Source organism: Homo sapiens, chromosome 15 (genome assembly GCF_000001405.40).
Source record: "Homo sapiens chromosome 15, GRCh38.p14 Primary Assembly".
NCBI lineage: Eukaryota > Metazoa > Chordata > Mammalia > Primates > Hominidae > Homo > Homo sapiens.
In genome coordinates, this window is record NC_000015.10 from 55,055,962 (window position 1) to 55,074,552 (window position 18,591).

At 36.5% G+C, this 18,591-nt stretch overlaps 1 long non-coding RNA gene across 1 annotated transcript in view, besides 2 other annotated features; it reads left to right on the top strand.

Annotated features, from left to right (window-relative positions):
- The first annotated feature begins 785 nt into the window (after positions 1-785).
- LOC105370829 (uncharacterized) overlaps positions 786-18,591 on the top strand; it is a 35,427-nt gene continuing 17,621 nt past the window's right edge. Inside the window, exon 1 of the long non-coding RNA NR_135679.1 lies at positions 786-951. This is a non-coding gene — a long non-coding RNA (uncharacterized LOC105370829). The remainder of the gene's footprint in view (positions 952-18,591) is intronic.
- Positions 8,328-8,909: an enhancer, noted in NCBI's record as "H3K27ac-H3K4me1 hESC enhancer chr15:55356487-55357068 (GRCh37/hg19 assembly coordinates)". NCBI's record gives its function as "activates a minimal SCP1, AML or CMV promoter by ChIP-STARR-seq in primed H9 embryonic stem cells {active_cell/tissue: H9 hESC(primed)}" and the evidence as "EXISTENCE:reporter gene assay evidence [ECO:0000049][PMID:30033119]".
- Positions 16,049-16,218: an enhancer, noted in NCBI's record as "experimental_40151 CRE fragment used in MPRA reporter constructs". NCBI's record gives its function as "activates a minimal promoter by MPRAs in K562 erythroleukemia cells, with activity observed for the introgressed 15:55364293 variant allele {active_cell/tissue: K562}" and the evidence as "EXISTENCE:reporter gene assay evidence [ECO:0000049][PMID:34662402]".

Here is an 18,591-nt window from a genome sequence, read left to right on the forward strand (position 1 = left end):
AACTAGACTGTGTCTAATTCATATCCATACTGAGGGCCCAGTACAGACTCTGGCACATGGTAATGCTTCAGTAAATATGTTGAATGAACAAAGAAATTAATAAACTTGTATGAGCTGTTCGCTTATTATCAATTAACACAAAACCTGAGGCAACCCTTCCCAGCTTACACCTCATTTTAGGAGCATTTCCCACAATAGACACTTTCTCCCAAAAGCAAGAAGAAAATCAGATCGTTCTGAAATAACCAGGAAAAGCTTTTGGAGACTTAACCATTGTCAGATCTCCCTCAGTGATTATTATAAACTAAATTACAGAAAATCCAGGCTGAAATTTTTCATAAAGCAATTTAAAATATTTAATCGGATGCTGAATGCTTCTCAGAAGAAAACTGATCTCTTTTCGCTGGTTAGATAATGTCCTCTTTTTCTTCAGCCCAAAAGAGGTAAATGAGTATATGAAATATAAATACAGAAATACATAACTAAAAGTGAAAGCTATTAGTAACTTGGAACCCTCAGAAGCCAAGCTACCTTGAATATATCTATGCTAGGATTACTATCTCCTTCCATCCTGAGATAGTGATAATTTTGCAGTATTAATATAGGGAAACCTTTAGCCAGAAAGGCAACAATGTATGACCCAGCATTGGAAGAGAAGCCTCCCAGGAATACAGGAACAGCCTTCATTCCCAGCTTGAATTGTTTCTTAATGGAATTCTACAATGCAAAAAACGTTTTTGCTGAATTCCGAACGGAAGCTTGTTACAACACAATGATTAGACTGACAGCTTGGCTTGAGATCCTAGGAGAAAAATAATTGACTAGGGGCTAAGAGACTTGAGGGGAACTAGCCCACTTCTGATGCTGCATGACTGAGAAGAAGTAGTATCATAGAATCATGGTACTTTAAAGCTGGAGAGAAACATCTCAAAAATAAGCAACCTGGACCAGGTAAGAAAACTAAATCCCAGAGAGGTGCCAGCTTTTCCTGTGTGGAATTGTGAATGAGAGCTGAGGAAATAAAGACAGTGAGTATTGAATCCGCTTTCCAAATTTGGTGGTGAAAGGAAAGAAGGCAACGGGAACTTCTTAAATGCTTTATGACTTGGCAAGGATTGGTGTTATAAGGGTCTCACTAAGTGAGAAACCATGAATGATCGGAGATTATTTTGAGAGTCACAGCTCAGGATACTGACAGATGAAAGGGTGATGATTTAAGTTGCAGGAAATCAACTAATATGAATAGCAAGAAAAATATGATCTGGGTTGCTTACTCTTTAGATATACAAATTCATTCAGCCTCTATATTTTGAGCCCTAAGATATTTCACTCCTATAGAATCTATAGAAGACAGAAAAATAGGCTCCCAAAGGTATTTACATCTCAATCCCCAAATCCTATGAGTATATTATCTTACGCGGCAAAAGGGACTTTGCAGATGTGATAAAATTAAGGACGTTGAGATATTATCCACATGTGCCCAATGTAATCTCAAGAATCATTATAGGAGGAAGGCAAGCAGGTCTGAGGGAGAGAAGGAGATGTGATAATAGAAGCAGAGCTCAGACCAAGGCAAAGAAGGGGTCAACCAGCCAAAGAATACAGGCCACCTATAGAACCTAGAAAAGGTAAAGAAATTGACTCTCCCCTAGAGCCTCTACAAGAAACACAGCCCTGCTGACACTTTGATTTCAGAACTTCTGACCTCCAGAACTACGAGATAAATTTGTGTTGTTTAAAGCCACTAAATTTGTGGTGGTTTGTTACAGCAGCAATAGGAAACTAATACAGAATTTAAATGAATTATGAAGAGAAAATTAATTTGCACATTTAGTAGACTTCAGTTCTGGACCAATGGGAATATTGGAAGTATTCACAAAGAGTTGTGCTCTGGCCACCACCATTTCCAAATTACGGTCTTTCACAACTTTATGGCATGTGCTCATTCTGTTTCCTTGCCCTATTATTTCCTTTCTTCCTTTTTCCACCTGTCATATTCCCACTCATCTTTCAAAGCAGCTCAGATAAAACCACCTTGTCTAGGATGATCTCTCGTATGCCTCCAGGAAGACTTAAGTTTTCCTTTTTTGTTCCCATTGGACTTTGTTTATACCACTGCTACACCCTTTACTATAGTCTGACTATCATTAAATTAACCTTTATGCCTCCCCTAACTCATCCCTGCCCTTGCCTGAATCTTCACAGGAGTAAATGTTTATCCAATCCCCAACTGGTAGACTACCAAGCAGTTCATTGACAAAATCTTTTCCCATTGTTTCTTTTTTTAGTTGTGGTAAAATATATGTAACATAAAATTTACCATTTAATCATTTTTAAATGTGCAGTTTAATAATACTAAGTATGTTGACATTGTTGTGCAACCAATCTCCACAACTCTATTTATCTTGTAAGACTAAAACTCTACATCCATAAAGAGCAATTCTTCACTTTTCCCTCATCCCAACCTCTGACAGCTCCCATTCTACTTTCTCTCCCTACAAATTTGACTACTCAAGATAGCTCATGTAAGTAGAATCACACAGCATTTGTCTTTCTGTGACTGGTATATTTCACTTAATATCTTCAAGGTTCAGCCATGTTGTACCAGGTCTCAGAATTTCTTTTCTTTGTAAGGCTGAATAATATTCTATTGCATGTATATACCATATTTTGTATATCTATTCATCCATCAACAGTCATTTGGGTTGCTTCCACTTTTTAATTTTTATGAATAATGCTGCTATGAACGTAGGTGTACAAATATCTCTGAGTTCCTGTTTTCAGTTCTTTTGGGTATACTCCCAGAAGTGGAATTGCTGGATAGTATGATAATTCTATTTTAAGTTTTTTAGGACCTGCCATAGTCTTTTCTATGGTGACTGCACTATTTTATATGCCCACTAACAGTAAACAAGTATTCCAATTTCTCCACATCTTTTCCAACGCTTCTTATTGTCTGTTTTGTTTTGTTGGTTTGGTTTGTAATAGTATTAGTATTAGTAGTAGTAGTAGTAGTAGTAGTAGTAGTAGTAGTAGCAGCAGCAGCAACAACTATCCTACAAGGTATGAAAAGGTATCTTGTTTTGGTTTCTATTTAGATTTTCCCTAATGATTAGGGCATTTTTATGTACTTGTTGACCATTTGTGTATCATCTTTGGAGAAATATATATTCAAGACCTTTGCCCATTTTTTAATTGGGTTGTTTGGTTTTTATTGTTGTTGAGTTGTAGCAGTTCTTTATATAGTTTAGATATTAACCCTTCATTAGATATGTGATTTGCAAATATTTTCTCTCATTTCATAGGTTGGTTTTTACTGTATTGATTGTGTCCTTTGATATACACAAGTTTTTTGTTTTGATGTAGTCTAATGTATATGCTTTTGGTGTCATATTAAAGATGTCATTACCAAATCTAATGTCATTAAACTTCTCCCCTATGTCTATAATTTCTTCTAAGAGTTTTATAGTTTTAACTCATGTTTAGGTCTTGAATCCATTTTGAGTTAATTTTTGTATATGGTGTACGGTAAGGATCCAACTTCATTCTTTTGCATGTGGATGTGCACTTTTCCCAAAATCATTTGTTGAACTTAAACGGATTTTTAACCTACGTAACCCAAATGACATTAAAATATAAAAAGAACCCTTAATGTGCATTAAAATCTATAACCACTACGAAATCATAATAATCCAGCTGTAAAACAAATGAGTTCCTTCTGGGGAGAAAAGGCTGTGGCCAGCCCAGGAGGCAAAAGTACTAAGCAGGATATGAAAACACAAAACAAAAGGTCAGTCTTTAAACAAAGGCAGTTTGAAAAGCCTTGTCAGGGCACAGCAGTCTCTCAAGATGATATATTTCATTTCTATACATTAAAGATACTATATATTTAATCCAAAAGGAGTGACTCCACCAGTCAAATACAGATAAGAAAACATACATCTTGATGTCTAATTACCTTGCAGGACCCCAGTGATCGTGGAACTCATTGTAACATTTCAGATTAATGTTGTGATAAAATGGTTTTACTTAAAATACTTACTGCCTTATTTCCATTCAACCACTACAATCTGTTGATTAAAAAGGAGATCTACTTACAACTTTTTTAAAAACTGCCATCAACTTTTACTCTAAGATTGCTTTAGAATTAAGTAAGATCCATTCTGCTTTTAGTCTCATTTGTTTTCACAATGTCAACTACACCTGTACTACAACTTATGTCTCTAACAGGAAAAGTTAAATCATGTTTATAATACTGTTCAATAAAATTGAACATCAATATCTAAAGATTTTTAAAGGTTTATTTTTAAGTTTTACAGTAAAACTTCTGCTACTCAAAAGATTAAAGGTTAAACTTCAATTCTCTTTTTTTTTTTTTTTTTTTTTTTTTTTGAGATGGAGTCTCGCTCTGTCCCGTCCCCCAGGCTGGAATGCAATGGCACAACTCGGCTCACTGCAACCTCCGCCTCCCAGGTTCAAGCGATTCTCCTGCCTCAGCGTCCTGAGTAGCTGGGATTACAGGCGCACACAACCACACCCAGCTAATTTTTTTTGTATTTTTTTTAGTAGAGATGGTGTTGGCCAGGCTGGTCTCGAACTCTTGACCTTGTGATCTGCCCAACTCGGCCTCCCAAAGTGCTGGGAATACAGGCGTGAGCCACTGTGCCCAGCTTAAACTTCAATTCTCTAAGCATTATATCATTCCTGAAGAATGCTGAATAAAGGAGGTTTAGAACAGGATGCAAACAGATATCATGGTTCATGATACCAGTGAACAGAAACTTGCGAGTCTGCTTAGCAGATTTGCAAGTTATTAGCTTGTAAAACATGCTAAATTTATTAAATTAAAATGAATACTCTCTGCAACCACAATGAGGTTTTGCACTCTTTCTTTAAGTTCTTCTAACGTAAATATATGACCAGTAGCACAGACAAATGTCAATCAAATAAGAAGAACTTAAGTGTAGAAAATACATGATCAACCCAGTTTCCTCCTTCCTGCACCACAGGGCATAGCTTTATGCCATCTGGTGATTATTAGGGGAGAAAGATGCCATCTGCCATTTCTGCTAATCCACGGGAGAGGGATAGCTCTCCCTTACCCTGTAAGCCTATGGGAAATCTCCTTGTGCCTGTTTACATGTCCCCAGGGCTCCAACTGAGTTAAAATTTCCTCTGAGAGAGAGAATGTGTGTAGAGTGTGTGTGTGTATGTCCCCACATATTCAACATCAAAGTGAGACATCCATTTCTATCCCTTTCATACAACCTCTTAAGTGTCACAGGAGTCTGTGTTAGTCCAGGTTAATAGCAAATCTCTTCCTATCCTGCCTAACTCAAAGCCAAGATACTATTAGATACAACCTAAACTAGAGGGACAAAATTGGATGACAGCCATAAAAATAGATTATAAAATAGACACAAATTGAATTCAAGGTGTGAAAATGACCTGCTATTCCTTTTGTTTTACATTCCCCCACAGAAAGGACAGAACCGAAATCATCCTCAAATAAGTGTTTTCATAGAATCTTATAGAAAAATTCTTAAGATGTCATAGCTTTCTTTATGCCAGTTGAAAGTATATTTTCTTACAACACTTAAAAAGAGAAAGAATGGGGTGCAAAATTTTTTCAAAGAGGCCTTAGCTGATATCTAAATTTGAACTATTTCTAGAGCTTAATGAGGTAGGAACTAGGAGAGAAAAACAAAGTATAAACAGAAAAATAGACATAAGTTTTTCCCCAACTATGTCAAGCCTACCAGTTTCTCAAATCACTGCATGTAAGAAGGGCTTCACATATATTATAAAATATATTATATACATATATATATTAAATACATATACATATATATACAGAGAGAGAGAGAGAGAGAGAGAGAGAATGGAATAAATCCCCTATCCCCATAGAATGGGATTGACCCCATTTAATGATTCAACTTTACTCACAGAAGTTTTATATTCTAACAAAGTAAAATATAAAGTTTTTTAAAATCCCTAAATGACCCAGAGCATGAGTCTATTTTTGAAACATCAATATGGCATCCTGTTATGACACAAGGATCACAACAACCTGATTCTGGGTTCCTAGGTCCTAGTCTCAATTATTAAAGTAACTGTAAATTTTTGAGCAAGTCACCTAGCCTCTCTTTGCCTCAGTCTCCTCATCTATCAAAGAATCACTCCGACTTACCCCAACCAGTCTCACAGGACTGTCAGGAAAATCTACAAAACACTGAATGTGAATGGAGCCATGTGCATGAACTTAAGTATTAAATGCTTATCAGTAAACAGTGTAAAGTAACTTGTTAAACAGGATAGGCTTTTACCAAGTGATATTCATACAATTTTTGCATCAAATTAAACAGAACTGCTTCCAGCCAAGATGGAATAACAAGAACTGAATTTACTCTATACCCTGGACAGCTAAAAACCTGGACAAAGTATATGAAGCAACTCTCAAGACATTGGATATCAGAAAGCAAAACACTGTAAATTCCAAAGAGACAGAAAACAAGTGTGGTCAGGCCTTCTATTACCCCAACTTACTACTTGGAGAACATTTCCAATCCATGGCACAGGGAGGGAGGGACTTACTCAGAGCTCACATTTCTCCCTAAATTGAAGAGCCAAATCTGGAAAATCTGGGGTAGTCAGAGAAAGTAGAGTTCATAAGACACAGTACCAGAGAAGAGAGAGTTGCACAGAAAAAGGATACCAGAAATATGCAGGGAATTTCCTTCAATACTTCACCTGAGTACTGATCAACACATACATGTAAGAAAACTACTGAGCAAAAATCAACCTAGAAAATAGGTAGCAGCAACTATGCTTGAAGTTCACAATGGAATGGAAATAGTGTCTGTCCCCAAAAGCCAGAGTGAAGACATTTCATAAACCACAAGGTATCATTCAGAGTACAAAAAAAGTCTCACTTCAATGAGGGAAAAATTAAACCTGGGCTAAATGCAGGTCTGGTCTCACCTAACAAAACCTTTTTAAAGTCTCAAGAATACACGCATCAAAACATCACATTATACTCCATAAATATATACAATTATTATTTCTCAATTAAAAATAAAACTTCTAAAAATAAAGTTTAAAAAAGTCTCAAGAAGATCAAACTATTTTCAAATAACTGAACCACATCTCAGGACAAAATGCAAGAATATTTATAGGAATACCAAAATATCCAGGACATAACAAGGTAAAATTCAAAATGTCTAGCATCCAATCAAAAATTACCAGTCATGCAAAGAAGTAGGAAAATACATCCCATAGTGAAGAGAAGACTCAATAAAAAACAAAAATGATACAGGTAATAGAATTATTAGACAAGCAAAATAAAACATTTGTTATAACTGCATTTTATACATTTAAGAAGCTGGAAAAAAGACTGAGCATGTTAAACGGAGATGTTAAAGATATAAAAGAGACCCAAAATGAACTTCTAGAGATAAAAACTATACTGTCTGAAATGAAAAATACACTGAATAGGATTAACAGCAGATTAATTTTTTCGTTCATAAAAAAGTAGTGAACTTAAAAGGACAGCAATAGAAACTACCTAAAATGAAAAACAGAGAATCAGAACAAGAATGAATGAGCAAGAGAGAGAAAGAAAACAAACTGAGAAAATTAACAAAACATCAATGAACTATGGGATACTTTTGATCAAATATTTGTCTAATTAGAATCAGCAAAGCAGAGAAGAGAGACAGAAAGAATATTTGAAAAAATTGTGACCAAAAGTTTCCAAATTTGGAAAAACCCACAGATCCAAAAACTTCAACAAACTCCAAGCAAAAATAACAAAGAAAACTACACCAGCTACAACATAATCAAAATTTTCTATACAAAGCAGCTAGCAGGAAAAAAGTTAGTACCTAATGGGCAAAGAAATTTGACAGCAAATTTCTCATTGCAATAAATGTAACCTAGAAGATAGTGGAACAACACTTTTTAAATAATTGAAAAAGAAAACCTAGAATTCTTTCCCAGCGAAAAAATTGTCTCTCAAAAATGAAGCTGAAGTGGGGAGGAGCAAAGATGGCCGAATAGGAAGAGCTCCGGTCTACAGCTCCCAGCGTGAGCGATGCAGAAGATGGGTGATTTCTGCATTTCCATCTGAGGTACTGGGTTCATCTCACTAGGGAGTGCCAGACAGTGGGCGCAGGTCAGTGGCTGCACGCACCGTTCGCGAGCTGAAGCAGGGTGAGGCATTGCCTCACTTGGGAAGCGCAAGGGGTCAGGGAGTTCCCTTTCCGAGTCAAAGAAAGGGGTGACGGACACACCTGGAAAATCGGGTCACTCCCACCTGAATATTGCGCTTTTCAGACCGGCTTAAAAAACAGCGCACCACGAGATTATATCCCGCACCTGGCTCTGAGGGTCCTACGCCCACGGAGTCTTGCTGATTGCTAGCACAGCAGTCTGAGATCAAACTGCAAGGTGGCAGCGAGGCTGGGGGAGGGGCACCCGCCATTGCCCAGGCTTGCTTAGGTAAACAAAGCAGCCGGGAAGCTCGAACTGGGTGGAGCCCACCACAGCTCAAGGAGGCCTGCCTGCCTATGTAGGCTCCACCTCTGGGGGCAGGGCACAGACAAACAAAAAGACAGCAGTAACTTCTGCAGACTTAAATGTCCGTGTCTGGCAGCTTTGAAAGAGCAGTGGTTCTCCCAGCACACAGCTGGAGATCCGAGAAGGGGCAGACTGCCTCCTCCAGTGGGTCCCTGACCCCTGACCCCCGAACAGCCTAACTGGGAGGCAACCCCCAGCAGGGGCACACTGACACCTCACACGGCAGGGTATTCCAACAGACCTGCAGCTGAGGGTCCTGTCTGTTAGAAGGAAAACTAACAAACAGAAAGGACATCCACACCAAAAACCCATCTGTTCATCACCATCATCGAAGACCAAAAGTAGATAAAACCACAAAGATGGGGAAAAAACAGAACAGAAAAACTGGAAACTCTAAAACGCAGAGCACCTCTCCTCCTCCAAAGGAACGCAGTTCCTCACCAGCAATGGAACAAAGCTGGATGGAGAATGACTTTGACGAGCTGAGAGAAGAAGGCTTCAGACTATCAAATTACTCTGAGCTACGGGAGGACATTCAAACCAAAGACAAAGAAGTTGAAAACTTTGAAAAAAATTTAGAAGAATGTATAACTAGAATAAGCAATACAGAGAAGTGCTTAAAGCAGCTGATGGAGCTGAAAACCAAGGTTCGAGAACTACGTGAAGAATGCAGAAGCCTCAGGAGCCGATGCGATCAACTGGAAGAAAAGGTATCAGTGATGGAAGATGAAATGAATGAAATGAAATGAGAAGGGAAGTTTAGAGAAAAAAGAATAAAAAGAAATGAGCAAAGCCTCCAAGAAATATGGGACTATGTGAAAAGACCAAATCTACGTCTGATTGGTGTACCTGAAAGTGATGGGGAGAATGGAACCAAGTTAGAAAACACCCTGCAGGATATTATCCAGGAGAACTTCCCCAATCTAGCAAGGCAGGCCAACATTCAGATTCAGGAAATACAGAGAATGCCACAAAGATACTCCTCAAGAAGAGCAACTCCAAGACACATAATTGTCAGATTCACCAAAGTTGAAATGAAGGAAAAAATGTTAAGGGCAGCCAGAGAGAAAGGTCGGGTTACCCTCAAAGGGAAGCCCATCAGACTAACAGCGGATCTCTCGGCAGAAACCCTACAAGCCAGAAGAGAGTGGGGGCCAATATTCAACATTCTTAAAGAAAAGAATTTTCAACCCAGAATTTCATATCCAGCCAAACTAAGCTTCATAAGTGAAGGAGAAATAAAATACTTTACAGACAAGCAAATGCTGAGAGATTTTGTCACCACCAGGCCTGCCCTAAAAGAGCTCCTGAAGGAAGCGCTAAACATGGAAAGGAACAACCAGTACCAGCCGCTGCAAAATCATGCCAAAATGTAAAAACCATCGAGACTAGGAAGAAACTGCATCAACTAACAAGCAAAATAACCAGCTAACATCATAATGACAGGATCAAATTCACACATAACAATATTAACTTTAAATGTAAATGGACTAAATGCTCCAATTAAAAGACACAGACTGGCAAATTGGATAAAGAGTCAAGACCCATCAGTGTGCTGTATTCAGGAAACCCATCTCATGTGCAGAGACACACAGAGGCTCAAAATAAAGGGATGGAGGAAGATCTACCAAGCAAATGGAAAACAAAAAAAGGCAGGGGTTGCAATCCTAGTCTCTGATAAAACAGACTTTAAACCAACAAAGATCAAAAGACACAACGAAGGCCATTACATAATGGTAAAGGGATCAATTCAACAAGAAGAGCTAACTATCCTAAATATATATGCACCCAATACAGGAGCACCAAGATTCATAAAGCAAGTCCTGAGTGACCTACAAAGAGACTTAGACTCCCACACATTAATAATGGGAGACTTTAACACCCCTCTGTCAACATTAGACAGATCAACAAGACAGAAAGCTAACAAGGATACCCAGGAATTGAACTCAGCTCTGCACCAAGCGGACCTAATAGACATCTACAGAACTCTCCACCCCAAATCAACAGAATATACATTTTTTTCAGCACCACACCACACCTATTCCAAAATTGACCACATAGTTGGAAGTAAAGCTCTCCTCAGCAAATGTAAAAGAACAGAAATTATAACAAACTATCTCTCAGACCACGGTGCAATCAAACTAGAACTCAGGATTAAGAATCTCACTCAAAACCACTCAACTACATGGAAACTGAACAACCTGCTCCTGAATGACTACTGGATACATAACGAAATGAAGGCAGAAATAAAGATGTTCTTTGAAACCAATGAGAACAAAGACACAACATACCAGAATCTCTGGGACGCATTCAAAGCAGTGTGTAGAGGGAAATTTATAGCACTAAATGCCCACAAGAGAAAGCAGGAAAGATCCAAAATTGACACCTTAACATCACAATTAAAAGAACTAGAAAAGCAAGAGCAAACACATTCAAAAGCTAGCAGAAGGCAAGAACTGAAGGAAATAGAGACACAAAAAACCCTTCAAAAAATTAATGAATCCAGGAGCTGGTTTTTTGAAAGGATCAACAAAATTGATAGACCACTAGCAAGACTAATAAAGAAAAAAAGAGAGAATCAAATAGACACAATAAAAAATGATAAAGGGCTATCCCCACCAATCCCACAGAAATACAAACTACCATCAGAGAATACTACAAACACCTCTATGCAAATAAACTAGAAAATCTAGAAGAAATGGATAAATTCCTCGACACATACACTCTCCCAAGACTAAACCAGGAAGAAGTTGAATCTCTGAATAGACCAATAACAGGAGCTGAAATTGTGGCAATAATCAATAGTTTACCAACCAAAAAGAGTCCAGGACCAGGTGGATTCACGGCCAAATTCTGTCAGAGGTACAAGGAGGAACTGGTACCATTCCTTCTGAAACTATTCCAATCAATAGAAAAAGAGGGAATCCTCCCTAACTCATTTTATGAGGCCAGCATCATTCTGATACCAAAGCCTGGCAGAGACACAACCAAAAAAGACAATTTTAGACCAATATCCTTGATGAACATTGATGCAAAAATCCTCAATAAAATACTGGCAAAATGAATCCAGCAGCACATCAAAAAGTTTATCCACCATGATCAAGTGGGCTCATCCCTGGGATGCAAGGCTGGTTCAATATACGCAAATCAATAAATGTAATCCAGCATATAAACAGAACCAAAGACAAAAACCACATGATTATCTCAATAGATGCAGAAAAAGCCTTTGACAAAATTCAACAACGCTTCATGCTAAAAACTCTCAATAAATTAGGTATTGATGGGACGTATTTCAAAATAATAAGAGCTATCTATGACAAACCCACAGCCAATATCATACTGAATGGGCAAAAACTGGAAGCATTCCCTTTGAAAAGTGGCACAAGACAGGGATGCCCTCTCTCACCACTCCTATTCAACATAGTGTTGGAAGTTCTGGCCAGGGCAATTAGGCAGGAGAAGGAAAAAAAGGGTATTCAATTAGGAAAAGAGGAAGTCAAATTGTCCCTGTTTGCAGACGACATGATTGTATATCTAGAAAACCCCATTGTCTCAGCCCAAAATCTCCTTAAGCTGATAAGCAACTTCAGCAAAGTCTCAGGATACAAAATCAATGTACAAAAATCACAAGCATTCTTATACACCAATAACAGACAGAGAGCCAAATCATGAGTGAACTCCCATTCACAATTGCTTCAAAGAGAACAAAATACCTAGGAATCCAACTTACAAGGGATGTGAAGGACCTCTTCAAGGAGAACTACAAACCACTGCTCAAGGAAATAAAAGAGGATACAAACAAATGGAAGAACATTCCATGCTCATGGGTAGGAAGAATCAATATTGTGAAAATGGCCATACTGCCCAAGGTAATTTACAGATTCAATGCCATCCCCATCAAGCTACCAATGACTTTCTTCACAGAATTGGAAAAAACTACTTTAAAGTTCATATGGAACCAAAAAAGAGCCCGCATCGCCAAGGCAATCCTAAGCCAAAAGAACAAAGCTGGAGGCATCACGCTACCTGACTTCAAACTATACTACAAGGCTACAGTAACCAAAACAGCATGGTACTGGTACCAAAACAGAGATATAGATCAATGGAACAGAACAGAGCCCTCAGAAATAACGCCGCATATCTACAACTATCTGATCTTTGACAAACCTGACAAAAACAAGAAATGGGGAAAGGATTCCCTATTTAATAAATGGTGCTGGGAAAACTGGCTAGCCATATGTAGAAAGCTGAAACTGGATCCCTTCCTTACACCTTATACAGAAATTAATTCAAGATGGATTAAAGACTTAAACGTTAGACCTAAAACCATAAAAACCCTAGAAGAAAACGTAGGCATCACCATTCAGGACATAGGCATGGGCAAGGACTTCATGTCCAAAACACCAAAAGCAATGGCAACAAAAGACAAAATTGACAAATGGGATCTAATTAAACTAAAGAGCTTCTGCACAGCAAAAGAAACTACCATCAGAGTGAGCAGACAACCTACAAAATGGGAGAAAATTTTCGCAACCTACTCATCTGACAAAGGGCTAATATCCAGAATCTACAATGAACTCAAACAAATTTACAAGAAAAAAACAAACAACCCCATCAAAAAGTGGGCGAAGGACATGAACAGACATTTCTCAAAAGAAGACATTTATGCAGCCAAAAAAACACATGAAAAAATGCTCATCATCACTGGCCATCAGAGAAATGCAAATCAAAACCATAATGAGATACCATCTCACACCAGTTAGAATGGCGATCATTAAAAAGTCAGGAAACAACAGGTGCTGGAGAGGATGTGGAGAAATAGGAACACTTTTACACTGTTGGTGGGACTGTAAACTAGTTCAACCATTGTGGAAGTCAGTGTGGCGATTCCTCAGGGATCTAGAATTAGAAATACCATTTGACCCAGCCATCCCATTACTGGGTATATACCCAAAGGACTATAAATCTTGCTGCTATAAAGACACATGCACACGTATGTTTATTGAGGCATTATTCACAATAGCAAAGACTTGGAACCAACCCAAATGTCCAACAATGATAGACTGGATTAAGAAAATGTGGCACCTATACACCATGGAATACTATGCAGCCATAAAAAATGATGAGTTCATGTCCTTTGTAGGGACATGGATGAAATTGGAAATCATCATTCTCAGTAAACTATCGCAAGAACAAAAAACCAAACACCGCATATTCTCACTCATAGGTGGGAATTGAACAATGAGATCACATGGACACAGGAAGGGGAATATCACACTCTGGGGACTGTTGTGGGGTGGGGGGAGGGGGGAGGGATAGCATTGGGAGATATACCTAATGCTAGATGACGAGTTAGTGGGTGCAGCGCACCAGCATGGCACATGTATACATATGTAACTAACCTGCACAATGTGCACATGTACCCTAAAACTTAAAGTACAATAAAAAAAAAATTTTTTTTTAAAAAAAGAAGCTGAAATAAAAATATTTTCAGACAAACAACAGCTAAAAGAATTTGTATTGTATAGCTGCAATACAATAAACCTTAAGGAGTCCTTTAAGCAGGACATCAGATGAAAATCTGGATCTACACAAAGGAATAAAAAGCAGCAGAAATCTTAAGAATGAGGTAAATACAAAAAACTTTTTATATTACTATATCTCTTTAAAAGATAATTAACTGTGTAAAGCAAAATAATAAAAATGTATTGTAGGGTTTATAAAATACATAGAAGTAAAATACATGATAACGTTGTATAAAAACTAGGCAGGAAACTGGATGTATATTTTGTAAGTTCTTATTCTATATATGAAATGGTAAAATGGTATGATATCACTTGATGGTAAACTGAAAAATTAAGTATATATTATAAATTATAAAGCAACTACTAAAATAACACAACATAAACTTTAATAAATGAAAAGGGAAGATAAATTGGAACTACAAAAAATCTGTTAATTCAAAAGAAGGAAGAAAAGTGAAAAGGGAACAAAGAATATGTGACATAAATAGAAATAAAATAGTGTGAGGATCAATTTAAACCCAACTATATCAATAATCACTTTAAATACAAATGGTTTAAATACCCTAAGTTTAAAACAGATATTGTCAAATTAGATTTTTTCCTTTTCCAAGTTATTGGTAAAGAAGTCAAATTAGACTTTAAAAAGAGAGAGCGAGAGACCCACTTTATGTTGTCTGCAAGAAATACACTTTAAATAGAAAGATACAAAAAAAAGTATATGAAAAGATGCATGATGCTAACACTACTTAAAATAAAACTGTAGCAGTTATACTGAATATCAAAGTCTATTTTAGTACAAAGAATATTAACAAGGATAAAGAGGACTATTACATAATGATAAATGGTCAAGTCATTTATGATAAATGTTATGATAATTGGTCAATTCATTAAGACCAGTGATAATTGACCAATTATCATTAAGACCAATTCATTAAGACCGGTGATAATTGACCAATTAACCAATTGGTCAATAACCAATTGACCATTAATGGTCGATTCATTAAGAGAACATGAATATTCTAAATGTTTATACAACTAATAATAGAGCTGCAAAATAAATGAACTAAAAGGAGAAATGGACAAACCCCTAATTATAGCCAGAGATTCAATACCTTACCCTCAATAATTTAACAAGCAGATAGAAAATCAGCAAGGATGTAGTAGACTTAAACACAATCAACTAAACTTGACCTGATTGGCATTTATGGAACACTCTCTACCCAACAACAGCAGAATACACCATCTTCTCAAGTGCACAGGAACATTTACCAAGATAAACCACAAGTTGGACCATAAAACAAAGCCCGATAAAGTTAAAAACATTTAAGTCATAGAATATATGTTATCTGAAATCACAGTGAACTTAAATTAAAAATCAAAAACGGAAAAATATCTGGGCCAGGCACAGTGGCTCACATCTGTAATAACAGCGCCTTGGGAGGCTGAGGGGGTGAACGGCTTGAGGCCAGGAGTTCCTGACCTGCCTGGGCAACTTAACAAGACCTGTTTCTACAAAAATAAAAATAAAAAATATAGCCAGGCATGGTAGCATTCACCTGTAGTCCCAGATACTCAGAAGGCTCCAGTGGGAAGACTGCTTGAACCCAGCAGTTGAAGGCTACAGTGAGCCATTATCATGCCACTCTACTGCAGCCTAGGTGACAAAGTAAGACCCTGTCTCAAAAAACAGAAAAGAAAAATATCTGGGAAATCCATATATATTTGGAAATTAAATAACACACTTCTAAATAACCCATCATAGGTCAAATAAATATTAAAAGTGAAATCAGAAAATATTTTTAACTAAATACAAATAAAAATACAACATATTAAAATCTGTGGGAGGCAGATAAAGCAATAGCTACTGGGAATTCTATAGCACTAAATACCAATGTTAGAAAAGAAGGAAGATCTAAATCAATTACTTCAGCTTTCACCTTAAAAAACTGGAAAGGAAAGAGTGAATTAAACTCTAATTAGGCAGAAAAATGAAATACTAAAGATCAGACCAGACAATATCATTAATCATCAGAGAAATGGAAATCAAAATCACTGTGAGATGCCATCTCACACCCATTAGGATGGCTATTACCAAAAAGACAAAACATAACAAACGTTAGCAAATGTATGAAGAAAAGGGAACTCTTATACACTGTTGGTGGAAATGTAGATTGGTACAGCTATGACGGAAAACAGTATGGAGGTTTCCTAAGGAAACTGAAAAGAGAACTACCATATGATGCAGCAATCCAACTTCTGGGTATATCCAAAGAAAATGAAATCACCTTGTAAAGATATTTGCACTCTCATGTTTACAGCAGCATTATTCACAATAGCTAAGATATGGAAACAACCTGTTTCTCAATAGATATATACACAATTTCTTTATTCATATATATATGCGAATATATATACACACACATACATACACACACACACATATATATATATCCTATATATATCCATATATCTATATATATATCCCTATAAAAGAACAAAATATTGCCCCACAGATGAGCTTGGAGGATGCTATGCTAAGTAAAATAAGCCAGACACAAAAAGAAAAATGTTGCATGATGTCACTTAGATATGGAGCCTAAAATTCTTTTTTCAAATATAAGGAGATAGAGAACAAAGCAGTGATTGCCAGAGGTGAGAGGGAAAGAGGGGCAATGGGGCTAAATGAAGAAATGCAGGTCAGAGGATATAAAGTAGCAGATATATAGGATAAACAAGATAGAAATCTAAGGTACAACATAAGAACTATAGGTAATAAAAGTGTACTGTATTTGGGATTCATGCTAAATGATCAGATTTTTAGCTGCTCTTGCCACAAAAATTAAAAATGTAACTATGTGAAATGATGGATATTTTTATTTGCTTCACCATAGTAACCTTTTTGTACTATCTATATGTGTCTCATAACATCATGTTGTATATCCTAAATTTATTTATAAGTTTATAAATAAAATTTTTTAAAGAAAGGCACAGCAGAAATCAGTGAAATACAAAGCAGAAACACAGTAGAGAAAAGTCAATGAAATCAAGGTTGATGCTTTGAGAAAATCAATAAAACAACAGGCGTCTAGCCAAAGTGATCAAAGAGAGAAAATAGAAATTACTAAGAGCAGAAATATAAGAGGTAACTACTACCAATTCTACAATAATTAAAAGGATAATAGGGGAGTTTTAAAATTTATGCCAATAAATTTGACCATGAAAATTAAATGGACAAATTCCTTGAAAGTCACAAACTACCACAGCTCACTCAAGAAGAAATATGTAACATGAATAGTCCTATAATAAAGAAATTGAAGTTTAAAACATTTCACAAAGAAAATCCAGCCTCTTATCTTTTCATTAGTGAATTTTACCAAAAGTTTAATAAATAAAAGATAACGATTCTATACAGACTCTTCCAGTAAACTGAATAGGAAGAAAAACTTCCCAGTTGATTTTTTTTCCTTCTGAATTTCAACTTTTATTTTTGATAGAGTGGGTACATGTGTAAGTTTGTTACATGGGTATATTGCACCAGATAGTAAGCATAGTAACCAATAGGTAGTTTTTCAGCCTACATGTCCTTAATGATTAGCGATATTACCCTAATACCAGGGTAATGCCATACACATTCTATACTAAAAAAAAAAGAAAGAAAGAAAACTACAGACCAATATTCCTGTAAGGTTAAAGAGTACAAGGTAAATATATAAAAATCCATTACATTTCTATATATCACCAACAAATTAGAAGTTGAAATATTAAAAACCAATGCCATTTAAAATAGCATCAAAAATATGAAATACTTAAGACAAATGCGACAAATCATGCATAAGACCTGTACACTAAAATTATAAAACTAGCTGAGAAAAATTAAAGACCAAAACAAATAGAAAAAAATACTGCGGTCAAGGATCAAAAAAACTATTATTATTAAGATGTCCTCCAATTTGGTTCTTTCTCAAAGTTGTTTTGCCTATGCTCAGTCTGTACATTCTAATAAAAATTTTAGAATCAGCTGTCAATTTCTAATGTAGAAAAATAATAAAGCTGAAGGGCTTCCATTACTTGCCTTCAAGACTTATTATAGAATTACCTATAATTCTACAATTACCAAGTCAGTATTGTATTGGTGGTGTGATTAACAATAAGGCCAGTGAAACGGAATGGAGAGTCTAAAAAATAGACCCACACATACATGGATGACTAATTTTTCACAAGCGCACAAAGGCAATGCAATGGGAAAAGGGGTCATTTCAAAAAATGGTGCTATAACAACTGGATAGCTATTTGCAAAAAAAATTAATAATAATAAACTTTGATCCACACCTTGAGTTAGGCAATGATTCTCAGATATGATACAACAGAAACATTTATTTAAAAATCATAGGCTCGGTGCAATATCTCATGCCTGTCATCCTAGCTCTTTGGGAGGCCAAGGCAAGCAGATGGACTGAGCCCAGGTGTTCTAGACCAGCCTGAGCAACAT